The sequence below is a fragment of the Homo sapiens genome, chromosome 5, assembly GCF_000001405.40.
Source record: "Homo sapiens chromosome 5, GRCh38.p14 Primary Assembly".
In the NCBI taxonomy this organism is placed as follows: domain Eukaryota; kingdom Metazoa; phylum Chordata; class Mammalia; order Primates; family Hominidae; genus Homo; species Homo sapiens.
The window spans coordinates 18,722,374-18,749,494 of NC_000005.10; the positions used below are offsets into that span (position 1 = coordinate 18,722,374).

The 27,121-nt window shown below is 38.4% G+C and overlaps 1 long non-coding RNA gene across 2 annotated transcripts, besides 6 other annotated features; it reads right to left on the reverse strand.

Moving 5' to 3' along the window:
• Positions 1-3,592: 3,592 nt before the first annotated feature.
• Positions 3,593-23,783, reverse strand: LINC02100 (long intergenic non-protein coding RNA 2100). Of its 2 annotated transcripts, none has more exons than XR_001742616.2 (2): positions 23,625-23,783; positions 3,593-11,238 (listed from the first exon to the last, which is right to left on the reverse strand). It is a non-coding gene; the product is annotated as a long intergenic non-protein coding RNA 2100 (long non-coding RNA). The 2 variants fall into 2 exon arrangements; XR_007059121.1 differs by having other exon boundaries at positions 3,593-12,245.
• Positions 10,284-11,483: an enhancer, noted in NCBI's record as "MED14-independent group 3 enhancer chr5:18732766-18733965 (GRCh37/hg19 assembly coordinates)". NCBI's record gives its function as "activates an origin of replication core promoter dependent on BRD2, BRD4, P300/CBP and CDK7 cofactors, and independent of MED14, by STARR-seq in HCT116 cells {active_cell/tissue: HCT116}" and the evidence as "EXISTENCE:reporter gene assay evidence [ECO:0000049][PMID:35650434]".
• Positions 13,321-13,991: an enhancer, noted in NCBI's record as "OCT4-NANOG-H3K27ac-H3K4me1 hESC enhancer chr5:18735803-18736473 (GRCh37/hg19 assembly coordinates)". NCBI's record gives its function as "activates a minimal SCP1, AML or CMV promoter by ChIP-STARR-seq in naive H9 embryonic stem cells {active_cell/tissue: H9 hESC(naive)}" and the evidence as "EXISTENCE:reporter gene assay evidence [ECO:0000049][PMID:30033119]".
• Positions 22,585-22,714: an enhancer, noted in NCBI's record as "active region_22426". NCBI's record gives its function as "activates an Ori minimal core promoter by ATAC-STARR-seq in GM12878 lymphoblastoid cells {active_cell/tissue: GM12878}" and the evidence as "EXISTENCE:reporter gene assay evidence [ECO:0000049][PMID:35858748]".
• Positions 22,905-23,104: an enhancer, noted in NCBI's record as "active region_22427". NCBI's record gives its function as "activates an Ori minimal core promoter by ATAC-STARR-seq in GM12878 lymphoblastoid cells {active_cell/tissue: GM12878}" and the evidence as "EXISTENCE:reporter gene assay evidence [ECO:0000049][PMID:35858748]".
• Positions 23,565-23,924: an enhancer, noted in NCBI's record as "active region_22428". NCBI's record gives its function as "activates an Ori minimal core promoter by ATAC-STARR-seq in GM12878 lymphoblastoid cells {active_cell/tissue: GM12878}" and the evidence as "EXISTENCE:reporter gene assay evidence [ECO:0000049][PMID:35858748]".
• Positions 23,935-24,214: an enhancer, noted in NCBI's record as "active region_22429". NCBI's record gives its function as "activates an Ori minimal core promoter by ATAC-STARR-seq in GM12878 lymphoblastoid cells {active_cell/tissue: GM12878}" and the evidence as "EXISTENCE:reporter gene assay evidence [ECO:0000049][PMID:35858748]".

Below are 27,121 nucleotides of genomic sequence, written 5' to 3' on the forward strand. Positions count from 1 at the left end.
TTAGGTTTTGGCTTCAGGAAATGTTGTAGCTCATTTGATATTCTGTTCAGACCACAAAAAAAAATTATATCAGCATTAAGACTGATTTAATTTATTATCATTTGTATTTCCACTGGAGTAACAATTTTAATTTCCTCCAAGAACTTTTCCTTTGTATTTACAACTTGGCTCACTTATGTGAAAGGCCTAGCTTTCAGACTCTCTTGGCTTTCAATATATCTTCATCTTCAATCATTTCTAGCTTTTGATTTGATTTGTGAGATGTGTGAGTCTTCTTTTCACTTGAACACTTAGAGAATTATGAATTGTTATTGTTGTGTCTCAGGGAATAAGGAGGCCTAAGGAGAGAGAGCGAGCTAGAGGAATGGCCAATTGGTAGAGCAGTCAGAACACACACAACATTTATTGATTAAGTTCATCATTTTATATGGCTGTGGTTTGTGGTACCCCAAAAACAAAAACAATTGCAATAGTAACGTCATGGATCACTAGTCCAAATAATCATAACATATATAATAATAATTTAAATGTTAGAAGTGTTGTGAGAACTAGAAAAATATGCCACAAACACATAAAGTGAGTTCATGCTGCTGGAAAAACGGTGCTGATACCTTGCTGGAACCAGGGCTGCCACAAACCTTGAATTTGTAAGAAATGTACTATCTGCAAAGTGCAATAAAGCAAAGCACAATGAAATGAGATATGCCTGTATATATAAGTGATTATTAAGTTTATTAAGTGCATCAAATTTCGTAACAGTGCTTTAGAATCAAGAGAACATGATATGCTTAACTGACTGCAAAAATTTCCATGTGACAGGCATATTTTTTCTGGGTCTTTGCTGTATATCTGTTCAATATGTAGCAGATACCCAATAGGTATTTGTTAAACACTAAATAGATAAAGAAGGAAGGAGAAAATAATAACTGATATTTCAGATTCAGTAAATGTAATAGTTGGAAGTTCCAGAGGGCAGAACTAGCCCGATTTATTTATTCAGTGGGGTCTTTGATTACCTAATAGGCAGCTGACTCTGCTTAGAAGTGAGGCTGCAAAGGTGAATATAACAAGTCCCTGAACTAAGGTATCTTCAATTAAATGGTCAAGACAAGTATTCATAAAGAATGATTATGGTGTAACACATTAATTTATGAAAAGGTAAAGATAAAAATAAATAATAGGTTGTGGAAGAGAGTTTGAAGAGTGTTAGCTGGGATAGGAAGAGAGGGTGAATCTTTTGGATCAAGGATGTGACAAATGTAAAAACACTGAAAAGGGAAAAAGCATAGCCAAAATGAGTCACAATAATTGTCTTGGAATGTCTAAAACACATAGACGGGATTGACTAACCAAAAGGGATAAGAGGGAAATTATAAAACACCTATGTGCAAACAAGGGATATAAAATGTATTCTCACTCCTTTTTGATATCCCTTTTGGTTAATTTAGATATGTAGCTAATGACTAGTTGGTAAATTTTAGGACAAAAAAATAATGTTCTAGGAAATGGACTTGACCAAAGACAGAATGGACAACTACCAAGGAAGGTTAAAACTTTCCACCGACTTACAATATTTCATCTATAGTTGACAAACACTCCTGTAACTATAGCATATTTGAAAAAGATAATACCTAAATTCCCTTTCACCTTAACATCTTAAATTTTTATCATCCCCCCAAGTTTCTAAGATATATTTTGAAAATGTTTGCAACAATGTCTTATGCTAAACGTTCTAGTGAAAATTCATAACCATATGAGTAGTCACTATTATATGAAATAAAGAAAATTACAATATTTATGAACTTTCTAAGGTGTACAATGTTGTAAAAAACTTCCTTTGATTTTTTTTTGTTAAAATATTACAGCATTTTACATTTAACAAAATGTTCTGAAATAATGTGAAAAGCACATAAGGTTACAAGCGTGGATCTGTCTTCTTCTTGACTGAAACAAACCCTTAATTATTGTATAAAGACTTTTTTCCCTTTAGGAAGTTTGCTTTTGGCTATGACGAGGTGGATTGCAAACTGTGAGAGATATTTTTTTATTTTCTTCTAATCTCTAAAGATAGTAGTTCTGCGTAGAACCGTGTAGATTTATCAAAGTTATTAAATAGCTTGGCTGAGTTATCCCTTTATTTGTATAAACATATGTGAGAAGTTGTTTGTTTGTTTTAAATTTTGGTAAAATACATATATAACATAAAACTTACCATTTGAACAATTTTTAGGTGTACAGTCAAGTAGTATTAAATACATTCACACTATTGTACAACCATCAACATCACCTTCCTAACTCTTTTCATCTTGAAAAATTGAAGCTCTATACTCATTAAGTAATAACTCTCTAATCCTCCCTTCCCTCAGCACCTGGTCACCATTTTACTTAATATGTCTATGAGTTGGACAACTCTAGGTGCCCCCTATAACTGGAGTTATACAATATGTCTTTTTGTGACTGTCTTAGTTTACTTAGCATAATGCACATAAAGTTCATCTATGTTGTAGCATGTATCAGAATTTCCTCCCTTTTTGGGTCTGAAAAAGATTCTGTTATATATTTATAACACATTTTGTTTTCCATTCGTCCATGGATGGACACATGGCTACTTCCACCATCTTGCATTATGAAAAATGCTGCTATGAACATGGGTGTATAATATTGTATTCTCAAACATGTAAGTTACTAGCTGAGTAATTTTGATATCAGTTTTAAAGCTTTTTAGAACAGAATTTGCTTGTCATTGTTTTGTTTTGTCCCATTTTTACCTAAAATAAGAACTTCAGGAAGATTCAATAAGTTTTCAGGTCAAAAGGAAATAAATATGACCTAATATAGTACTTACCTCACATATGCTTTGCTTATAAAACTAATAATTCTGTAATCTCTACTCCATTCTTCCTAAAAAATGCTTATTATTGGTGTGATTTAAAAATTGCAAAACTGAATACTTAATTAAGGAAGGCAAATATTGCAATCTTTTCATAAGGATTATAGATGAAATGTTAAAGATACAGCAATGACCTCTATTGTAGATGCACCAATTATCTTCAGTTAAACAAAGAGAAAGAGAAAATTGCTCAAATTTAATTCTGTCAATGTGAGCAAAATATATTTTCTATCATTTTAAATACTTAGCATAAAAGACATACTGGAGTATATTAGATCGAAACTATCCAATATGGTCAGTTAATTCTGTATAATAAAATTATGCAACCACAAAAATAACATATTTCACTGTCTCAAAATTGAAATAGTTTCCAAATACTTATTTCAGAATTAAAACAATATGATTTATTATTGGTAATAACTTTAAGAAAAGACAAAAAAATCATGTTTTAGGCATTTCAAGATCAATAGAGTTAGGTTTATACTAATAAGGTAAACTATTAAATCACATTATTTATTAAAATGAATTGATATAACCTGCATGGCTTATTAAAATGATTAATGTGGCCTATGGATGAAAAACTCAACTGAGATATGATTTAAAACATATAATAACTATCACATAAGTACATTACTAAAACAAATACTACCATGAAACATAACAAATTAAAATCTTGAAGGAGAAACACATGTAAGTATAGAATATTATAAACATGTCAGAATTTTATTAATTTTAGAAGTAAATACATAGAGTGCTAGAGCAGAAGTTATATAACTGCTAATACAGATTTCAAATAGCATTCATTGCAAAGCATCAGCATTACTTAAATTGAACAAATTTCAGTTGTCAAATATCTCCAGACAAAGGCCACCAAGAACACAGTGATAGTTGAACAAGTTGAATTTATGACTCTTTGCATGAAAGGAAAACACACAGCAAAGAAAGCCATAGTGCCTCTCTCAGTAAGAGAAAGACCTATTACAGGATTTGAGCTTTGGTCCGGTAATTCAGGGGAGGGTCCAAGGATTCAGGCTTTGATCATGATTGGATGCTGTCAGGAAGACAGACAAGTTCATAATTGAGAACCTCAACAAATCTTATCTACAGGAAGGATAGACTAGGTAAAGAAGCAGCCATAATTCATTTTAGCAGAGAGAGGAGGATGTTCGAGTACTTCATGGGGTACATGGTGACCTTGTTTTATCTCACTTTATCATCCCTTCAACGTGACCTGATGTTGTTATGCTCTGTGAGATTGTTTATGTTCACCAGGAGAACAGTGTTCTCTAGCTGGGAGCATCAAGTCAGCTTGTAGTAACACATAACCTTACCTAGTTCAGGATGTTAGGTGTCATTTTCTTTCTCACAGTTTAGTGCAGCAGCTAGCTACCAACTATATAATCAAAACACAGAGGTTCATAAAATAATATAACAACAATTCTGAAAATGATGTGAACTCCGCTTGATAATGCATTCATAGTTGTATGACTACATTAAGCCTTAAAAGAGTTTAAGTGAATTGCTAACAGATTACCACTGATTTTTGACACAATCAGGAAGCAAATTCATTTCTTTTGATCTGAGTATTGGACACTGTCTTCTATACCAGGTTATTCTCCCAAATGACATGCCATATGCATTTCGATAATGCAGTCACTATATTCTAGAATAGAAAGCCATCAAGTGGTTAATAAATCTTGTTTCTTTTACAGTGGTGGCTAATGAAGAGTAAACAGATATCATTGGAAGTTGAGGATCTAGGATACCATGATCTCCACAATGAATTCAGGCAGATAAGCTCTGCTTATATCAACTTGATATATTGCATCTTACGTATGTATATATGATGCAGTATATTAAATTATAATCATACATATAAAATTCTACCCAATGTTTAATAAAAAAGTTTATTTGTTAGAAATGATTATAAACACTGATGTATGCAATAAATGTTGTACAAGTGGGTGGTACTAAATAATTATATGATTACAAAGAAATTTGATTAACAGAAATAAGTGTTCAGACCACATAATATTCTTTTTAAATTTATTTTCCTTTTTTTAACTTTTATTTTAAGTTCAGGGGTACAAGTGTAGGTTTGTTACACAGGTAAACTTGTGTCATGGAGGTTTGTTGTACAGATTATTTTATCACCCAGGTATTAAGCCTAGTATCCATTAGTTATTTTTTCCTGATCCTCTCCCTCCTTCCACCCTCCATCCTCTGAAAGGCCTCTGTGTGTGTTGTTCCCCTCTATGTGTCTATATGTTCTCATCATTTAGCACCCACTTATAAATGAGAACATGTGGTATTTGATTTTCTGTTCTTGTGTTAGTTTGTTAAGGATAATGGTCTTCTCAGAAATCTATAAGGATTAAAATCTATAAGGATTAAAATGCAAGTGATATATAAGTGAACTATGGTAGGAAGCGAATTGGCACATTTTACCATTTCATCTCACTAATTTGTTACACTAAAGACCTTTGAAAAATATTACACAAAATTTCAGCATTTTAAAAAAAATTGTGGATTTATTCAGAATTATTAACTTGGTTTCAAAACTTGCTTCACTTATCTATCACAAAGGAGGTAAACGTATATTGCTAATTTGCTATGCTCTTATAATAGGTTATGACAGCTTGTTTTTTAAAAGAATATGCATTCATCGAGGAACTGGAGATTTAATGTATGCAATCAGCATTCAGCAAAGGAAGGAGACATTTTGGTATTAAAAAAACTATTTGTATATTAAGTACAGTAAGTCCTTGCTTGACGATGTTGTTAAGTTCTTGGAATCTATGACTTTAAGCAACATGACAAATGGGAAGTCTTTGAGTAACATCATTTTGTTCCACATTGTTGGGTGATAACATTGATAAGGAAAAAAATGGGTTTGTTATATGTCATTTTGAATACATATTCCTAATTTCAGTGTATTTTCCTACATAAAACTATTATATTTAGTAAATTAATTAGCCTATCCTCTTTGCAAAATAAAACATTTACCAATTGTGAAGGGAAGAAAGGACAGTGGTTAATGGAGAGACAAGGAAGGTTGAAATACATGCCGAATAAAAGAAAGGTTTAACTATATGGCACTGGAAACAAACAATTTGAGTGTGAAGGACGTATTTTCTCTCAAGGATTATACAATATGAGAAATTAATCAGAAATCAAAGCAATGAATTCAACCAGTTAGGAAAATTGGTAGAATGGTATGAAGTATAAATGAAGAAAATGCATTTTAAAATATAGAAAATTTGGGACCATGGTGTTATGTCCCACTTAACAACCAAAATAATAAAAATTTGATTGTGCAAAAGGTGATTATTAAATTTACTAGTAGAGTTTAATGAGGGCAGATATTGAATGCTAGGAGATGGGTAATAGAAAGTTTCAATAAATCATTTTCTAATAATTTCATAAACTTCCTTTCAATAGCTACCTGCTACCTCCAGGTTATTGGTGGATCTCCTGTTATTGGACTTCATTAAAATAAAAACAAATCTGTGGCATTTATGTCAAGTCAAAAGAATCTATGCATTCAGAGTTGTGGCAGGAGCACATATGAATAAAGGAGTCCCTTTACTACATTCTAAGGAAGAATTTGCATGTTCTATTACAGACAATTATTTGTTCTCAGCCATGTCTGTCCTGATACAGCTATCCAGATAGCCTTATCTTCCAATTCCTCTCACTCAGAAAATTTTTTTATTGTGTCCTCTGGAATTCATGGCCAGTCAGCATCAAAATTCTATATAATCTCAATATATTTCTTTTATTTGAATTTTGCCCTAATAGGAGATTGTGTTGAAGACACATCTTATTCAGCAGCCCATATCATTCACATCTCCCTGTGCTTTTCTTCAATCTGATGTGAATTCATTTTTTAGCACACCAGGTCCAAAATGTTGTTGCATAGACAGTTTGACTTTCAAGATTTTTAGATGCCTCCTTCTGCCTCTTTCAACTGGCAAATGTGTCATAGCAAAAATCTGAACAGAACATCTAATTTATGTTTATGTGCTTCCCTTCTTTCTGGAGTCTTGCCTCCTCAAGTCTCTGCTGCTTGGTAGAGATCTCAGGTGCCCTCTAACACTTTATCTTTCATATTTTATCCAGCCTTACTAATTAGTCTAGCAAGACGGATGGCTATATTCAAGTTCATCTGCTATAGCTAGAAGCAAATATTCTTGTATCTAGCTATTAAGATTTGACAAGGCATAAGAAATAAAGAGGCAAAACTGTCATCATTTACAGATGATACGATTCAACACTTTCAGTATACAGGAGCCAAGACTGAAAAAAATGACTCTAAACATGATGGCAAATGATTAAGGTAGGTGAATACAAAATAAAAATAAATAGTTCATAACATATACATTATATAATTAGAAAACACCCTATTTTGCAAAGCAAAAAACTTGAAACAGACCTCATAATCAATGTGCATGATTTTTAAGGGGAAAAATTGTATACTATTGGAGAACTTAAAGTAAGTTGTTATCAAATATATAAGCATGTAATGTCTTGGAATAAAAACACAACATCATAATGATGACAATTCAGTCCATATTAATCTATAAATGTAATAAAATAATGGCAAAATAGAAATATGTTTTCCGCAATCACTGTCAAGTCAAATCCAAATTTTATGTAGAAAGATAAAATAACCAGAAAATCCCTAATAAGGTGGTTAGTCAGGAGGAACAAGAATGATCATATAATAAAATATATTATATAATCTTATTAAAGAATTTTATTTAAAGAAGCAACTTAATTCTATTCCCATTTTAGTAAAATCACTGTAATATATAGAAAGGATTATGAAACAGCAACACTGAAGAGAGAAGTTAGCTTTTTCAGTGATACTTGCAAAATAATAGAATTCTGAATTAGAGAAATAGCAGTAAGGCGAGAGAGAGATTTAGTAGATGTTATCAATCATAATACTCTTAACACAACAGTAGCTGACACATACAGTGTTTATATAGTAAGGCGCTGTGTATATCTCAATGTATTTTACCCACACAAAAACCTTTGTGTTGAGTTCTACTTTAATTTCAATTTGGCAGATGTGGGAATTAAGGGATAGAATAATTGCACAAATTGCCCAAGATCACGTAGTTACTTAAAAACAGCATGATTCTGGCTTCACATTCTGGGCTAGCAGCCTCAAAAGTGTACAATTTCACTAAGAGTTGCTGTGACATGATTGGCTGTGGCCTGTGACAATGTCAATGAACTTGTCTCTGACTTAGGGTGTGGGTGAACTATAGTAGTGTCGTGTATAGAAAGATGTACACACACACACACACACACACACACACACACCCCAGTTAAGAATAAAAAGATCTTGGGTCATCTTTTGAGCAGCATGATTTGAATGATGTCTCATAAGCAGTGTATATATAAATCCAGCTGTGATTAGTGATATCTGAGCTGGCAGAAGAGACCTGGAAATTATCAGTCCATCAATAATAATTAAAGGCATGAAAATGAGATACAAAAGCATTAAAAATAAGAAGCAACTTGAACTGTCATTGATCTCTCAATAATAGACACATGTAAAGAACAGACAGAATAAATTGAATGAAGAGACACTGAGAAGGCATATCCAGAGAGGGAGAGAGAGAGAAAGGAAGAAGCAAACTCAAAGAAGTATGGTGTTCCACATGATAATATAAGTGAACGGAGTTTTTGAAGGTAAAATTCAAATAGACAACTGCCATGGTTTGAATATTTATCTCAAAACTTAACGCTGAAATTTAATCATCAGTGTAATGATATTGAGAAGTGGGCCTTTATGAGGCGATTAGGCCAGGAGGGATCTGCCCACATGGGTAGATCAAATACTTTTGAAAAGGACATTAAGAAATGAGTTTTAGCTCCACTGTTCTGCCATGTGGAGAACAGTGTTTCTTTCCTCTGGAGGTTACATCTTAGAAGCAGAGATGGGGTCCTTACTAGACATCAAACTGGCTGGTGCCTTGAACTTAAACTTCTCAGCCCCCAGAACTGTGAGAAAAAAAAAAAATCTATTCTTTATCAATTACCCAATTTCAGGTATTTTTTTTGTAGAAGTACAAAACAGACTAAGATAATAACTCCTGTCTTTCTTCTTTTTTTTTTTCTTTTTTTTGAGACGGAGTCTCACTCTGTCGCCAAGGCTGGAGTGCAGTGGCACGGTCCCGGCTCACTGCAAGCTCCGCCTCCCAGGTTCATGCCATTCTCCAGCCTCAGCCTTTCGAGTAGCTGGAACTACAGGCGCCCGCCACCATACCCGGATAATTTTTTTTTTGTATTTTTAGTAGAGACGGGGTTTCACCTTGTTAGCCAGGATGGTCTCGAGCTCCTGACCTCGTGATCCGTCTGCCTCGGCCTCCTAAAGTGCTAGGATTACAGGCGTGAGCCACCGCACCCGACTCTGTCTTTCTTCTTATGTAATTTGAATATAATTCTTTTCTAAGATTCCCAAAATATTAGCCCTGTCATTTTCTTTCCATTATTTACAGCAATTTTTCTTTTAAAAAAACAGCTTTTATTTTAGATACGGGGGTACATGTGTAGAATTGTTACATAGTGTATTAGACCCACGTAGTGAGCATAGCACCCAATAGGTAGTTTTTCTCCCATGTCTCTCTCCTTCCATCCTTTCCCTAGTAGTCTGCAGTGTCTATTATCCCTGTGTTTATATCCATGTGTGCTCAGTGTTTACCTGCCATACACACTTTCTTAGTAGGGGGGTACCATTCTTACCTGTAAAGCAACAGTAAACATTACTATCTGTGGACTTGCAGAGTTTTGGTTCCACTGGCATCAAAACACATTATTATTCCATTAGACCAAGACTTAGTTTATGGTAAAGGAGAAGAGTAAGTGGGCCTATGACCATGAGATGACGTACTGACCCACCCAGAAGCTGTCAGTGTGAGAGAGTGCTGAAAAGGCCTGCACAGCTAAAATGCCAGTTTGGAGCCAATACTTCCTGAGAATTGTGTTTCATCATCTAGGACGCAGCATATAGATAATAGAAGATCTTTGATGGCTCTGTGGCTCTAGTGGAAAGAATATATGCATTTGGAATGTAACGTATGCAAAGAGGAGTGGCCCCATTACTTAATACAGTAGTTCCCTCTTATCCTCGGTGGATCTATTCCAAGACCCCCCATGGGTGCATGGAATTGCAGGTCGTACCATATCCTATATATACTATGTTTCTTCCTGTATATACATATCTATCATAAAGCTTAATTTATAAATTAGGAACAGTAGAGATAACAACAATAACTAATAATACAATAAAAAATTATGACAGTATGCCAGTATTATTAGTCTTGAGCTTTGGGATTATTGTTAAGTAAAATAAGGTTTACTTAAGCACAAGCACATCGATATCACCATAGTCATTCTGATAACCGAGCTGGCTACTAAGTAACTAATTATAGGCCAGTAATGTGGACAACATGGTTATATGTGCTGGACAAAGGGATGATTCATGTCTCAGGGAGGACAGAATGGGATGGTTTGAGGTTTCATCACGCTACTCAGAATGGCTCTGAAGCTGCTATTGCCTATCTCAGTGCCCCATGTCAGGCTCAAATGAACTACCCCTTATACTCCTACCCTGCTCAGTTGCTGTATGCCGGCTGGTCTGAAGAAGATGGGGAGACTTAGGGTAAAAGCACTTCACGCAGCTGAAGCAGACTCTGAAGAACTGAACTTGAAGGGGGATCTCAGTGGCACATCTTACAGTTTGCCACTGGCTCCCCTCACCTATGATTAAGAAGAAATGCCTCAATCAGATGATTCAGCAAACACTTACACACAACATCTGCCAGTCCACATTATTCAGAAAAATGCAATGTCATTCCTTATGGAAAGTTGCCTTACTAGTCTGTGTGAGTCCTCATGTTACTGGGGGTCCTTGCTCCCAGAGCTACCAAGACGGTAATGGGACGCTTCCAAAATGGCCGCAAGCTGTTTCCAAGATGGTGGCTAGCCTGGTGGTAGCTGACCTGGGGTTCCTGGCCTCACGGATTCAAAGGAATGGAATCTTGGGCCATGCGGTGAGTGTTACAGCTCTGTTAGCTCTATTAGAAGCCGTGGGTCATGGAAGAGAACCGTGGAACCCAGTGACTAGTGTTCAGCTCGATTAGAACGAACCTGGGCACTTAGCCATGCAGGAACAATGGCAAGCCTTTAGTCGGATCGGGAGCAGCAATGGGCACCTCACTGGATCAGGAGCACAGAGGACACCCTGCCGGATCCGAAGGGATGGAAGTCAGCGCGTGTCTGCGGCAGTGGCAAACAGCAGTGGTGGACAGAGAGTGAAAGCTCAGCTTGAGCTGTAACAAACACAGACCAGAAGAGAGTGCAGTTGTAAGATTTAATAGAGTAAAATAGAGTGAAAACAGAGCTCCCATACAAAGGGAAGGGACCCAAAGCGGGTAGCTGTTGCTGGCTCGAATGCCTGGGTTTATATCCTAATCATTGTCCCTCCCGCTGTGCTCTCAGGCAATAGATGATTGGCTATTTCTTTACCTCCTGTTTTTGCCAAATTAGCATTTTAGTGAGGTCTCTTTACTATCCGATTCATCGGGTGTGAGCTAAGTTGCAAGCCCTGTGTTTAAAGGTAGAAGCGGTCACCTTCCCAGCTAGGCTTAGGGATTCTTAGTCGGCCTAGGAAATCCAGCTCGTCCTGTCTCTCACTAGTATTAAAAACAAACTGAACAAGAAGTTAACTAGTCACAAAGATGGGAGATATAAACATCGCTTTTTCTCCAAAGCAGACCATGCATAAAGACCCACCTTGAACAAAGTAAAATTGAGTATAACAGCTAGAGAAGAAAGTTATTAAATGAATTGTCTTCAGTTACATTTAGAGTTAACTGGAATTTACTAGTAAGACCAGGACTTTTACTGAACAATTTTAGCCAGTAAGTTGGGTTATAACACTAATTTACATTCAGCAATCTTTGGAATAGTCCTAAGCCTGAAAATAAATCTTTCATTTCCAAAGATCTCAAAGCTATGTAACAATATTTATTTGAAATAAAATATCTCGGCTTGTGGCAACTAATTTAGAACCAAACTTAAAAGTCAGTTTCAGTTCAGATAACAAGGACATAGTGAAGATAATAAAAACATCCTCATGGGAAGAAAAGATATATAGTGGTTGTAATTTGAAATACCCTTCAGTGTCTTAGTATAATCATCCTTTATGTATTCAGGCTCATAAATAAGTAGGACAAATGAGAGTATGTAAATATTCCAGAATGTAAGATATTTCTACCATCTTTGTTCTTCAAAGCAGCATCCATGACAAGGCTGGTGTAATTATTTAAGTGCATTCCTGTGAGGGGCAAAATTAATGCGACTCTTATCTTACTGAACAATAAACGCATCAGGTGAAATGATTAGCATTTAGACATTAAATACACAATTTCAAAAAAAACTATACTAACTCCAAATAGAAGTATGTTGAAGTTTGTTAATAAGCTACTTGTTCCTTTCTGAAGAGTCATGATAGGTTTTTAAGACATAAATTTGAATATTTTATGTCGAGTCCATATTAACTTATAATAAACATTACCCTTTTTACTGATATTAGATAGGTTTAACCTAGGCTTTCTGAAATTTTACATAAATAGTAATGCTTTCAGGAGAATTCTTTTCTGTTTTTTTTTTTTTTTCTAAAAAAGACATGTTAATTGTTGCTTTAATAATCACCAAACATTTGTGTTGAATAAGTATTTATTCATCACTTTCCTTGTATCAGGAACTGTGAAAGGCATTAGGGCTGCAAAGACAGATAAGCTACAATCCCCAGAAAAATAGATTGATCATTCTATTTGCAAGACAATTTACTGAGTATAATCATTTATGAAGCAAATGCTATGGGAACACATTGGTTTGAATGACTAATTCTTACAGCAAAAAGTCATTTGTAAATATCTTACATTTTGAACAGAAATTTTAAAAATATTTGCAGAATCAGGACCTGACCTCTGTGTAAGTTTAAGATCCAGGCCTCATTTTTGGTCTTCTTGAAGCTGCTTCATAGAACAACAAATGCAAATAAAAAAAGATGCTTAATTCTCCCTTTTGAAGATAAGGGAAGGCCTGGCGCAAAGGTTCGTGGCTGTAATCTCAGCACTTTGGGAGGCTGAGGTGGGCAGATCACTTGAGTAGAGGAGTTTGAAACCAGCCTGGCCAGGCAGGGTGCGGTGGCTCATGCCTGTAATCCCAGCACTTTGGGAGGCCGAGGCCAGCGGATTGCCTGAGGTCAGCCTGACTGACATGTTGAAACTTCGTCTCTACTAAAAATACAAAAATTAGCTGGGTGTGGTGGCACATGCCTGTAATCCCAGCTACTCGGGAGGCTGAGGGAGAAGAATCGCTTGAACCCAGCAGGTGGAGGTTGTAGTGAGCCGAGACGGGGCCTTGGCATTCCATCCAGCCTGGGCAACAAGAGCAAAACTCCATCTCAAAAAAAAAAAAAAAAAGAAAGAAAAGAAACCAGCCTGGCCAACATGATGAAACACCACCTCTACTAAAAATACAAAAATTAAAATTAGGGAGGCGTGGTGGTACCTGCCTATAGTCCCAGCTACTCGGCAAGCTGAGGCACAAGAATTGCTTGAACCGGGAAGCAGAGGTTGCAGTGAGCTGAGATCATGCCACTGCACTCCAGCCTGGGTGACAGAGCGAGACTGCCTTCCAAAAAAATTAAAATAATTAAAAAAGAATAAAAAAAGAAAGAAAAAAGAAAGGAAGGCATTTCCCTTCCTTTCTTTTTCTTAGAGCATTTACTTTAGAAAACTTGTACTTGCGAGAACTTTCTCCTTTCTTTGAAATGTATATAAATTCTATTGAAAGCTGGATTGGCCTTTGTCATCTTTATGACCTGTGAATCGTTCCCAGAGACCTGGAAGCCACATCTTTGAAATGTAAACAAGGAAGAGATCATCCAAATCTCACAGTTTCCACTGGAGTGCAGGAGCCTAATTGTTGCTTTATGTTGCAAAAATGTATCTTGTCATAAAGATATGTGAAGTTGGTTTCTTCTCTGAATGAAGCCAACTAGTTAACACAGAAGATCACCCTAATTACCAAGCAAATTTAGGGTGTACTTTAAATTCTTACTTGAGGATGAGCTATCTTTTATCTTGAAATCATGCCCATAATAGGTTGTATCTGCTTGGCTGATAAAAGGAAAGATTTCTTTCTGTTTTCATAATCTCTTAGCAGATCCCATGTGATATGTATCATATTCCGGTTTAAAGCCTATTCAGTAATAAAGCAGTTGTCTTTCTCTGCTACCACTGGGGAGATTATTTTGTTTTCAATTGTGTTTCTCCAACACTCACTATACAGCTGGATTTTGTGTTTTATTTCAGCTGTTACTTTCTTTCTTTCTTTTTTTTTTCTTTTTATGAGACAGTCTCACACTCTGTTGCCCAGGCTGCAGTGCAGTGATGCAATCCCCGCTAACTGTAACCTCCGCTTCCCAGGTTCAAGCGATTCTCCTGCCTCAGCTTCCTAAGTAGCTGGGATTACAGGAGCGAGTCAACATGTCCGGCTAATTTTTGTATTTTTGGTAGAGACGGGGTTTTGTCATGTTGGCTAGGCTGGTCTCAAATTCCTCACCTCAGGTGACCCGCCTGCCTCAGCCTCACAAAGTGCTGGGATTACAGGCATGAGCCACCATGCCCAGCTGCTTTATTTCTTTATAAGATTAGGACATTGAACAACCTCATCTACATCAGATAGTTTATTAGGATGCAAGCTAGAAACTCACTCTCTCTCTGTCTCTCTCCCTCTCACACACACACAAACACACACAGAAATGAACACTTATGCACACTGACAGCTTGCACAGCAAAGGCATTTACTTGTGATGTGTAAAAATAAATCGAGGAAGCCTGTAGAGCTGACTTCAGTTGTCAACAAGGTCTAGACACTAAGAAGCCTTCTTTGTGCGTCCTTTGATTGCAAAGACTACCAGTGCTGGCATCCTAAAACAAGAGCCTCTAAAACAGAAAGGCAGAAGCAGTGACACACAAAAAAGGCTCTTCTTTTGTGCAGCCCTCGATTTTTATAAGGGCAAATGTTTTGTAGCAAGTAGGTCTCAGCAGAGTTCATCTTAGCTTTAGTTGCTTACTTCCAGACAACTTCTCACAATTTTGATCAGCATGACAAATACTGGCTGATACCCAGTGAATCCAGATCGTTTCCTGGAGCCAGGAGAGGAAACTTTCAGAATTTGCTGCCATGTTGATGCCTAAACAAAATAGCAGATGTGGTTGAAAAGAAAGAAAAAGGATGTAGTAAGAACTGTCTGCCGCAGCACTGTTGAGAAATGTGTCTTGCATTCTCTGGCAATCCTCATTCATGCTATTCTTTTTTTTTTTTTTGAGACGGAGTCTCACTCTGTCCTCAGGCTGGAGTGTGCAGTGGCACAATCTCGGCTCACTGCAACCTCGGCCTCCAGGGTTCAAGCGATTCTCTTGCCTCAGCCTCTCGAGTAGCTGGGACTACAGGCTCATGCCACCACACCCAGCTAATATTTGTATTTTCAGTAGAGACTGGTTTTCACCATGTTGGCCAGGATGGTCTCAATCTCTTGAGCTTGTGATCTGCCCACCTCGGCCTCCCAAAGTGCTGGGATTACAGGCGTGAGCCACCACACCTGGCTATTCATGCTATTCTTAATTCCTTTGACTCTTTGGTCTAAAATTTCTTAAGGGCTGACAATGTTCTCTCGGTCCTTTTCCTTGTTTTTCTACATACCATGAACTCACTTGCCATCCATATGCTGATGACTCCTGAAAATCTATCATATCCCCAGATTTCCTTCTGGCACTTCGGATCTTTATGCTTATTTGCTTACTGAAAGGGGCACTCTGTTTTAATTGTATCATATATTGCCAAGACCATCATAATAAATCCAAACTCTTTGGCATGACAATATGGATAACTGATAATTAGACTTTTCTCAAAATCTCTGACTACATTTCCTGCCGGCACCTCCCATTCATCTCCAGCCACATACTTTTCTGCAATCGCACTGAACTTGTGCAGTTCTCTAAGCAACTTCGGTGGGCTCTTTCTAATCTCTGAACTTTGAATAGACACTACTTGTGAGTAAAGTGTTCTCACCAAGCTAATCTCTGTTGACCATTCCGGATTCAGTTAAACTGTGTCTCCTCACTTGCTCTCCTCTTCCCCAACACTTCAGGAGACACTCTATGTTTTCATCTATCCAGATAATGTCTGTCCTTTGTATTTTTGAATATTTCATGCTTTAGACTTTTGTAGTGCATATCACAGTAGGTTGCAATTTTCTATTTGTCTCCTCTATTAGACGGTAGGATTTGACGGACTTAATCAAACCATGAATCTCTCAGAACTCCTTTTCAGCTTTAGCATTCAACAACTTATCCTTTAAATTTGAGATAATAGCACATGAATGTTTGTAATTTTTCTGGTTAAATTAATATTAATATGAAATATAAAAGTAAATTTTTGTATAAAATATTGGGTAATATCTATTTTGATTTACATTGAGAAACATTAAACATGAAAATTATGTGGTTGTCATTAAAGTTGAATTGAAGGTGTAGCATGATTTTTGTATTATGAGCAGTAGGGGAGTAAATAACAGAAAATTGGTATTTATTAGGGGTAAGAAGTCCTAAGATGTAGCATAGATGACTTGACAGGACCAAATGAGGCAAATTGTGAGAATGAATATGGCTCCTTTAAGATGGAGTGAAGTGATTCAGCTGTTTGTCACCGAACAATCACAAGACAAGCCAGTTGAGTGCTTTCCCCAGGCTAGTACCTAATAAAGGGTATAGAAATGAATTGATCCCATTTGTGTTTCACACACAACTGCAAAGTGTGCAGGCAGATGCTATAAAACATCAACATTAATGGGAAGCTCTAAAATCTTGATTCTCAGTAAGAAGAGGCAAAATATAAATTTTACTTTTAGCATCATGAAGTAGAAGAAAGTTTTCTATCCCATAGAATAGGCATTGTGCAACTTTCCTTTTCTTTCTGTTTGTTAATATTTTTTAGAGTCAGGATCTCAATCTGTTGCTCAGGCTGGAGTGCAGTGGCACAATCATAGTTCACTACAGCCTCAAACTCCTGGGCTCAAGCAATTTTCCTGCCTCAGCCTCTTGAGTAGCTAGGACTACAGGCACTTGCCACCATGCCTGGCTAATTTTTAAATTTTTAAATTTTTTTGTAGAGATGGGGTCTCAGTATGTTGCCCAAGCTGGTCTCAAACTTCTAGCCATAATAAATCTTCCTGCCTTGGCCTTCCAAAGCCCTGGGATTATAGGCATAAGCCACAGTGCCTGGCCCGTGCAACTTTAAAGAATATGTATACACACACACATACACTCACACACATATAGAGAGAGAATATATATATTCCATATATATAATGCATATATTATATATATAAATTCTTAATTATATCAAATAACTCTCCAGTAAGTAAACATGAATACATATTCATATACAATGATAAATTATCAACAACCCCAAATGAACTCACTAAAACACTGTCTTATTTACTCTTGCAAAAATAAATACACATACTAGATGACCCAAGGTAAGTCCCACTGAGGCAATAATAGAGGATTTTTAGGTATCACAGAGAAGCCACTGGATATATATAAAACAATATTGGGAAGATTTGTGCTCTAGGAATTAACTGACTAAAATCTCCTGACTATGTAGTTGCAGGTATTCATATTCATGGAAAGGAAAATACATGCAAGTTAGTCAATGCAATAAGATTAGAAAAATATTCATTAAGCCCTACTATGTACTCAACACTATGTACATACTATGCCAGGATCCAGAAATGTTAGTAAGAATGTCCACATCTCAAAAAGCTTAAAGGTAAATAAGACATATCAAATTGCCTTGCAAATATTTACTATAGTATATTGATGATATCCTGGCCAAGGAACTGTTAAAATATAATGCAGATGAAAGAAATATCTAGAATAATTGTATGTAAATTTCTTAGTTCAGCATTTGTAATTTCAATAAGCATTTCTTTTTGCAATTCAATTTATTAGAAAAGTATTATCATTGATTTCTTTAACAAAAATTTATGTACTGTTTATTATGTGCCAAATGCTATTCTAAGTTTTCAGTATAAAAGTCAAACATAGAAACAAAAATGCTGACCAATATCCCTTAGCACTTTCAGTTTCATTGTAGAGACAGACAGTGAACATGTTAAATTAGGATATTATACTTATGATAGATGATAACAAACAATGGAAAAACTAAAGCAGGGTAATGAGAATCAAGAATTTTGAAAGAGTGAGGAAGTTTCCAATTTAAAATGATGATCAGGTAGGCCTTGACTACATGGTGAATTTAGAGCACACTTTGAAGGAGCTGAAAAAAATTACCAACTTGATAACAAAAGATTTTTCCAAAGCAGAGAGTAGCCTACTAAATTCATGGATTTCAAGTCCTACCATTCTATCAGAATACTTGTAGATAACTGGTATGTGTTTTACTGAGGCTTGAAGAAACAAGTTCGGTTTTCCTGACGTGGTGGTTCTTGGATTATTGTTTGAACACCTGACCTTAACATGTCACCAATGGGAACTTTAATGGATTCATTTTTATTGCAGCAAAATTTTGTTTTGAGTAGACAAATAAAAGCCATCAGAAAGTCGATAGAATCCATGCAGCTATCTCAGACGCGCATTATGAGAATGGTTTTCTCAGACTAGAGCTCCGCTGTCATTCAGATTCCCTTCACAAACACTCCAGGGTAATCACCCTGAGATGAATCTCAATGGGTCTAAACTTGATGCCCTCAGATGTCTCATTTCTTCTACCAAAGGGTTGTAGGAGCCATGTGATTTAGGGGAACATCTTTGAAAATCTTTACACTTGCTTAATTTGGGTATAATAGAGATCAATATAAGATATACCTAAAAATGATACCTGGATCTTAGGCTGTCAAACTCTGAATTGGCAAAGGAACACTAACTATGGTATATTTCTTGGTAAGCAATAAGATCCAGCTCCCTATTCCCAGGTCAGAATTGTTTCAACTCAGGCCAAAGCTCTGAAATTGTCATAAACTTCAGGTTGCCGAGTCTGCTCCGAGAGTGCAGACAATCTCCAAAAAGCTATCATTAAGTGATGCTGGCACACAGGACTCTTGTACTTTATATATTTCCTTAAAGAATACAATGGAAGCACATTCCTCAGTAGTATATAGGTTGTCACATTTGAAACTGTCCACATTATATATGAAAGCTCATATGTTTTAAAGATTTTATTTTGATGGGTTAAGCTCTATATAAAGATTTCTATCATAAGAGAGTCCAAATTTGTTATACTTGAATATATTTCTTCTGCCTACTCTTGGTAAATGCAAACTCAAAAGGAACTAAATAGTTGAGACATTTGTAGGTCAAGGACAAAGTTAAATATTATCATTTTAAATTAGCAGAGATAATAACCTGTGATTTTGATTATACAGTGATGTGTTGCTTAGCCTTTGGTATATGTTCTGAGAACTCTCTCCTTAGGTGATTTTGCTGTTGTGCAAATGTCATAAAGTGTACTTACACAAACTTAGATGGTATAGCCTACTACACACTTAGGCTATATGGTATAGCCTATAGCTCCCGAGCTACAAATCTGTACAGCATGTTACTGTACTAAATACCAAAAGCAACTGTAACATGATGGTAAATATTTGGGTATCAAAATATATCTAAACATAGATAAGGTACATATTTAAAAGATAAAAAATGATACACCTGTATAGGGCCGTTACCAAGAATGGAGTTTGCCAGATTGAAAATTGCTCTGGGTGAGTCAGTGAGTGAGTGATGAGCGAATGCAAAGTCCTAGAACCTAACTGTACACTACCCATAGTTTTTATATGCACAGTACACTTAGGCTACTCTAAATTTATTTTAAATATTCTTTTTTCAATAATAAATTAACCTTAGATTAATGTACTTTTAATTTATGTTATTGTTAAATAATATTAATAATATTAATAACTATGCATATTCATGGAGTACATAGTCATGTTTTGATCACAGTAATAGCACATTCATTATTTAAAACATTTATCACTTCTTTTTATTAAGAATGTTCAATGTCTTCCCTGTGGTGTTTGTTCTCAGTTCGGTGGCATTCCAATGTTCGGGAACAGGTACTGGGACGGATGGTTTAAAGCATAAGGGGAGGCACATCAAGCAGTCAGCTGGATTTTGGCTGGAGGCCTTGCGAATTTCGGTAAGGGTGACATTAAATAAATTTAGCAAGAAGGAGTGAGTGTGAAGAGTTTTGTGTAGCTTTGAGAGGTCTAATCCTTTGTAGGGACTGGGTGTGCTAAGGGTTTGAATGGCCCTTGCTTTAGCTGATATGTCCCTCCCTAGTAAAGGGGTAGGGCTCTCAGGCATAAGAAAGGCATGTGAGAAAAATAAGGTTCCCCAGTCACAACTTAGGGGGTAGGAGAAATGCCTAGTGACTGGCTGTCCTAGGACCCCTTTGATGGTGACAGACCAGGAAGATACTGACCAGGACAGAAGAGTAAAACTGAGAAGGCCGCACCAGTGTCCAGGAGGAAGTTAGTTTCCTGGCCCTCAATGGTTACACTTAGCCGGGGCTCTGTGAGGGTGATGGCATGGGCTGGCACCTGTCCCGGGCACCCTCAGTCCTGTTGTTGGACCATCTGGGTAGTGGCCTCTGGCCCAGAGGACTTTCGCCTTCGGGGGCAGTGTGCCTTCCAGTGATCCCTCTGGCACAAGGGACATAGAAGAGGGGGCAGCTTATTTTTGTTTGGGCGGTCCTTTTTGAAGTACCCCTGTAAGCTGCACTGATAACAAGCCCTGTTAGGCGGGTTGCCTGCCCAGCCCTTCTTTCTTTCAGAGCCACTGAAGTTCATCTGCCTGAGGGTCATGACTAAGGTGACGGCCTTTTTCTTGTCTCATCTGTCTCACTCAGCCTGATCCTCCTGATCCCTATTATAAAATACTGAAGTTGCCAAATTCAATCGAGTTTTCAAATTTTGCTCAGGGCCCAGGGCAGACTTTTGAAGTTCTTTTCTAATGTGTGCAGCTGACTGAGTAATAAACTTACCCTTTAAAATTAGTTGGCCTTCAACAGAGTCAGGTGACAAGGAGGTATGCTTTCTTAATGCCTCCCTTAGCCTCTCTAAAAATGCCGTAGGGTTTTCTTCCTTTTCCTCTGTTATGGTGGCCATCACTGAGTAATTCATTGGCTTTTTTCTGGTCTTTCTTAATCCCTCTACTATACAAGTCAGTAAATGCCTGAGACTCAAGTCTCCATGCTCCGAGTTGAGGTCCCAGTGGGGATCCACACTGGGAACTGCCTGTTGGCCTGTGGGGAGTTGTTCCCTTTCTTCTGATGTCATTTTATCATTTACCTGGCTTAGGTACCAGAGATCCCCAAACTCCTGGGCTGCAACTAAGGTGGCCTGTTTTTTGTTGGGAGTTAATGTTTGACCTAACAACAACATAATATCTCTCCATGCTAAACTAAAAGATTGTCCTAATCCTTGTAAGACATCTATGCATCCATCAGGATTATCTGAGAATTTTTCTCCGTTCAGTTTGATCTGTTTTAAGTCTGAGAGGGAAAAGGGGACATGTACTCACACCAGGCCAAAGTCTCCTCCTCCTCCCATGGCTTGGAGGGGGCACAATCGAGGGCCATTGGCGCCTTTTGGTTACTTGACTATCTTTGGGTCTGGTTCCTTTTGGGCCGTTAGGGCCAAAGGAGAGTCCTTACTAGTCAGAGGGGGAGCCGTGGGGAGCCCTGGGTATGGGGGTAGGCTTTGAGGATCCCCGGTAGGATATATATATTACATTTTTTACATAATTGTGGGTTTTCCGTTAGTGAGAAAAAACCTGTACATATGGCACTTCACTCCATTTGCCCTCTCTTTTACAAAAGAGATCTAGCTGTAGGATGGTATTATAGTTTATACTTCCCTTGGGTGGCCATGTCTCTCCTCCAGGAAGAGGATATTGTGGCCGGGTGGTGCTGCAGAAAAATATAAGTCGCTTCTTCTTCAGCATTTGAGGGTCTAATTGGTCCCAATTATCCAGACTACACCTTAGGAGTGGCTTAGCTTTTGAGGGAACGTCTCCTATCTGAAAGGAGAACATAGGAGTGCCTGCACCCCTAGTCATCACCTAGTGAGCACTCTCCCTAGGGCATCCCCTATGGTTCTAGTGTCCTCTTCTTTCCAGGGTGCCCAATCACCCATGGAACTCTGCTTATCAGATTTAATTGTGCTTACTAACATAGCAGTTTTGCTCACACTCATTTCCTGCCTCTTTTTAGCCACAGAAAAAAGGGCCCAGGGCTGCTCGATTTTAGTGGCTCCTTACCAGCATGCCCACAGTTGTCTTTGCATCTGCGAGTGGGTCTTAGGTTAGGGGTGTATTTTGAGTTCAGAGACCAGGCACCAATTAGCATATTTCTGGGCTTGGAGTTGTCCCAGCAAGATAAATTCCTTGAAAATGGCACTGGAGCACAACAGTTTTAGAGTAGGCAGTGGCAAATTGGAGGACCAAGGTTGGAACAGTGCTTTTTGTACCCGAATTCTGACCCCATTTTCCCTCAAAAGAATATTCATTGACCTTTGGACTTGGATCAGGGGACCTATTGTCTATTACATTGTTGTCAGCCCATACGTCTGACTGCTTCAAGTCGAGAAGTTCTACAGTCCTTTTTTTTTTTGAGATGGAGTTTCACTCTGTTGCCCAGGCTGGAGTGCAGTGGTGAGATCTCAGCTCACTGCAAGCTCCACCTCCTGGGTTCATGTCATTCTCTTGTCTCAGCCTCCCTAGAAGCTGGGACTATAGGCGCCTGCTACCACGCCCAGCTAATTGTTTGTATTTTTAGTAGAGACAGGTTTCACCATGCTAGCCAGGATTACAGGCATGAGCCACCATGCCCAGCCCAAAGTTCTACAGTTCTAATCGCTGACCCCAGGCAGGAAAGCTGGTAATTAAAGTAGCCTCTACAATCTGGAGTAAGTTTAGGGCAACAAAAGGGAAAATGTCCTAGGCCTTCTATCAGCCACTGACATGCCGTTTGATGTCCCAGATAGTGCCCAGGATACAGGTTATGAGGGACAAGTCCCGTATAAGTATATTGATACCAATTTGCATAAGAATAAGTCTGGGCACACCATGTGCAAGGGTCTTCGGATTGCCTCCCCATTTGACTTAGGCTCCTAGCCAAAAGATTCTTAGACTCAGGGTTAGGAAAAATTCTAGAGGATAGGGACTTAAGAAAGTCATCTCTGAGGACATTAGGACCCAGGAGGCATGGTCAGAGAAGGCAGAGAATGCATGCATGGGTGTCTGCAGAGTAGAGGCTTCTCGCTGTGCCATGATCTCGACTGGGTCAGTGCCAGGAGTTCGGGACAATAGTTTTCCGCCTCTAGCCAGCCCTCAGCTTTTCCCAGGAAAGGTGGAACTGGCTCCAGGCACACCAATGCTTCCAGCCCAGAGGGCTGGGGGTTGTTAGAGAGCCCTTTCCTGGAAAGCCTCACACCCGTGTCTTAAATCTGGCAGCCATGCTTGTCGCTTTTAAGTGGCCCACAGTTGCCCAGTGTTTTCCTCCAGTTGTTAGCGAGAAGATAGAACAGAATAGCAAGTGAAAGGGGTCCAATATTACTCACTGCTGTGGAGAAATCCCGGATGGGCCCCTAGAAATGAGATAAGAAGTATCCTCCCAATTGAAGGTTTTTTCTCAATCCAAGGGTTCCTGGTCTCGTGGGCTTCAAGGAATGGAGCCATGGACCGCAGCAGCAAGTGTTACAGCTCGATTAGAGAAATGCATGGACCCAAAGCGTGTGCAGCCGCACGATCTATTAAAGTGAAAGCAAAAGTAAAGTGAAAGCGAAAGTAAAGCTTCCACGCAGTGGAAGGGGACCCAGAAGGGTTGCTGTTTCTAGCTTGAGTGTCTTATGCTTATGTTCCCTTATGACCCCTCCCCTTTTCCTTTTTCTGCCCTGTTGAATTAGCTTATTTTCTATCCACTTGTGGGTTGGTGGGCCTAACTGGTTAAAAACATCAGACTGCAGCTAGAGCTTAAACTCCCTATATGATTGGTTGAAGTTTCAAACCCTTAGCTTGCAGCTGTGACTCATTTTGGCTTAGGGGAAAGTCCCCTTAGGGAAGTCCCTATTGACCCAGGAAGTCCAGCCAACTTAGCCACCTAGTCCCTCACTATTAGTTCTGTCTCTCTAGGGAATCCTCATACAAATTTTGGTACCAGAAATGGTTCTAGAGGAACAAAATGGTAAGAATGCAGTTATTTCATTGGTTTTGGGGTTTCTGGAGTTGGCTGCTTAATATAATTAGACCCCAAAATGCTAAGGACTCTATTTCTAATTGTATGGAGAATACTGACAATCCTTGGCATGAACTGCTTAGAGAGTTATGCAAAATAAATGCATTTGACACTCCTGATTCACCACCCATGAGAGGCAAGGAGTTTAGTGACTCTATACATAATACCTTTCACTATATGTATATATAATTAAGGAACATAATGAAGTTGGTTGGTTGCTCCTCAGTTCACCTGACAAAGTAATGAAAGAAAATGATGAACTCAGAAATTCTAACTCCCAGCTTCAGAAGCAGATACTGAGCCTCAAATCTGCTATGATTGCCCTGAATGAGAGTTTTATCTCCTTTAGCGAAAAAGCTGAAATTGTGGAAAAGCAGACACAAGCTTTTATCATGTGAGTGGCTGACCTGCAACAAGAGGTGCATGCACAGCCTCACCAGGTGTCTACTGTTAAAGTGAGGGCATTAATTGGAAAAGAACATGACCCTACAACTTGGAATGGGGACATGTGAGAGGACCCTGATGATGCTGGGGACACTGTGCTTGTAAACTCCATTGAAACTTTTTTGCCAGAAGAAACAGCTTCTCCATCCCCAGTAATGTCAACATTCCTTCCCAAACCCATGCTGCCATCAGCCTTTCCAACTTTGTCTGAGGAGATAAACCCTATGCTGCCTGAGGCCACAGTGTTGGCCTCCCCTGAGGCAGTTGCCAGGCAAGATAATGTTGATTCTCCTCAGCAGGCATCCCCACACCCCTGTTTGCTTCTAGACCTATAATTAGACTAAAGTCCTGGTGGGCCCCTGGAGGTGAGGTTGAGAGTGTGACTGATGAGGAGGTGCACTACAGTCAAAAAGAACTGCTTGAGTTTTCTAATTTCTGTAAACAGAAATCTGGAGAACAGGCACGGGAATGAATATTAAGGGTGTGGGATAATGGTGAAAGGATCAGAGGTGGATCAGGCTGAATTTATTGATTTGGGCCTACTAAGTATGGACTCTGCATTTAATGTTGCAGCTTGGGGAGTTAAACAAGGTTCTAATAGTTTATTTGCTTTGTTAGCTGAAATATGGATTAACAGATGGCCCACTGTGAGCGAGCTGGAAATGCCTGATCTTTCTTGGTTTAATGTAGAGGCAGGGATCTAAAGGCTTAGAGAGATTGGGATGGTGGAGTGGATTAGTCACTTTAGACCTACTCATCCAAGCTGGGAGGGTCCAGAAGATATACCCTTGACTAATGCCTTGTGAAACAGATTTGTGAGGGCATCACTTGCATCTTTGAAGAGCTCTGTAATTGCTCTTCTCTGTGTGTCACATCTAACAGTGGGAGCTGCAGTCACTCAACTACAAAACTTAAATACAATGGGAATAATTGGATCCCAGGGTGGCAGGGGCTAAGTGGCAGCACTCAACCATCAAAGGCAAGATGGGTGTAGCTATCACAGTGGACAGCAGAGGTAAAGCAGTTATCAGAATAGTCTGACTCATGTAGAACTTTGGCATTGGCTAATTAATTAAAATGCTCCTAGAATTGAAAATGATAGAAAGCCTACTGCATTCCTTCTTAATTTATATAAGCAGAAAACTTCTAGGTTGAATGGACAAAAGACTAATTTGAACTATAAAACAGAGAATCACAGCCCCTCAATCAATTTCCAGACTTGAGCCAGTTTATAAACCCAGAACCCTTTGAATGAAGGGGAAGCCAGGTCCCCTTGAGGAAGGACCCCACTACACTACTGAAAATTTATGTTTTTAATCTTTTTCCCATCCTTCCCCAAGGAGACCTCTGGCCTTTTACTAGGGTAGCTGTGCAATGGGGAAAGGGAAATTATTAGATATTTTGAGGACTACTGGATACTGGCTCTGAGCTGATGTTGATTCCAGGGTACCCAAAACATCATCGTGGTCCTCCAGTTAAAGCAGGGGTTTATGGAAGTCAGGTAATTAATGGAGTTTTAGCTCAGATCCAATTTACAGTGGGTCCAGTGGGTCTCCAGATTCATCCTGTGGTCATTTCTCCAGTGCCAGAATGCATAATTGGCATAGACACACTTAGCAACTGGCACAACACACACATTAGCTTCCTAACTGGAAGGGTGAGGGCTATTATGGTGGAAAAGGCCAAATAGAAGCCATTAGGGCTGCCTCTATCTAGGAAAATAGTAAATCAGAAACAATATTACATCCCTGGAGGGATTGTGGAGATTAGTGCCACCACAAGAACTTGAAAGATGCAGGAGTGGTAATTCCCACCACATCCCCATTCAACTCTCTCATTTGGCCTGTGCAGAAGACAGATGGATCTTGGAAAATGACAGCAGATTATCGTAAGCTTAACCAAGTGGTGACTCCAGTTGCAGTTGCTGTAGATGTGGTTTCATTCTTTGAGCAAATAAACACATCTCCTGGTACCTGGTATGTAGCCATTGACTTGGCAAATGCCTTATTTTCCATTCTTAACCATAAGGCCCACCAGAAGCAATTTGTCTTCAGCTGGAAAGGCCAGCAATATAGCTTTACTGTCCTACCTCATGGGTATATCAACTCTCCGGCTTTGTGTCATAATCTTATTTGGAGACACCTTGATCACTTTTCGCTCCCACAAGATATCACACTGGTCCATTACATTGATGACATTTTGCTGATTGGATCCAGTGAGCAACAAGTAGCAAACACACTGGACTTAGTGGTGAGACATTTGCGTGCCAGAGGATGGGAAATAAATCTGACTAAAATTCAGGGAACTTTTACCTCGGTAAAATTTACAGGGGTCCAGTGGTGTGGGTCCTGATATTCCTTCTAAGGTGAAGGATAAGTT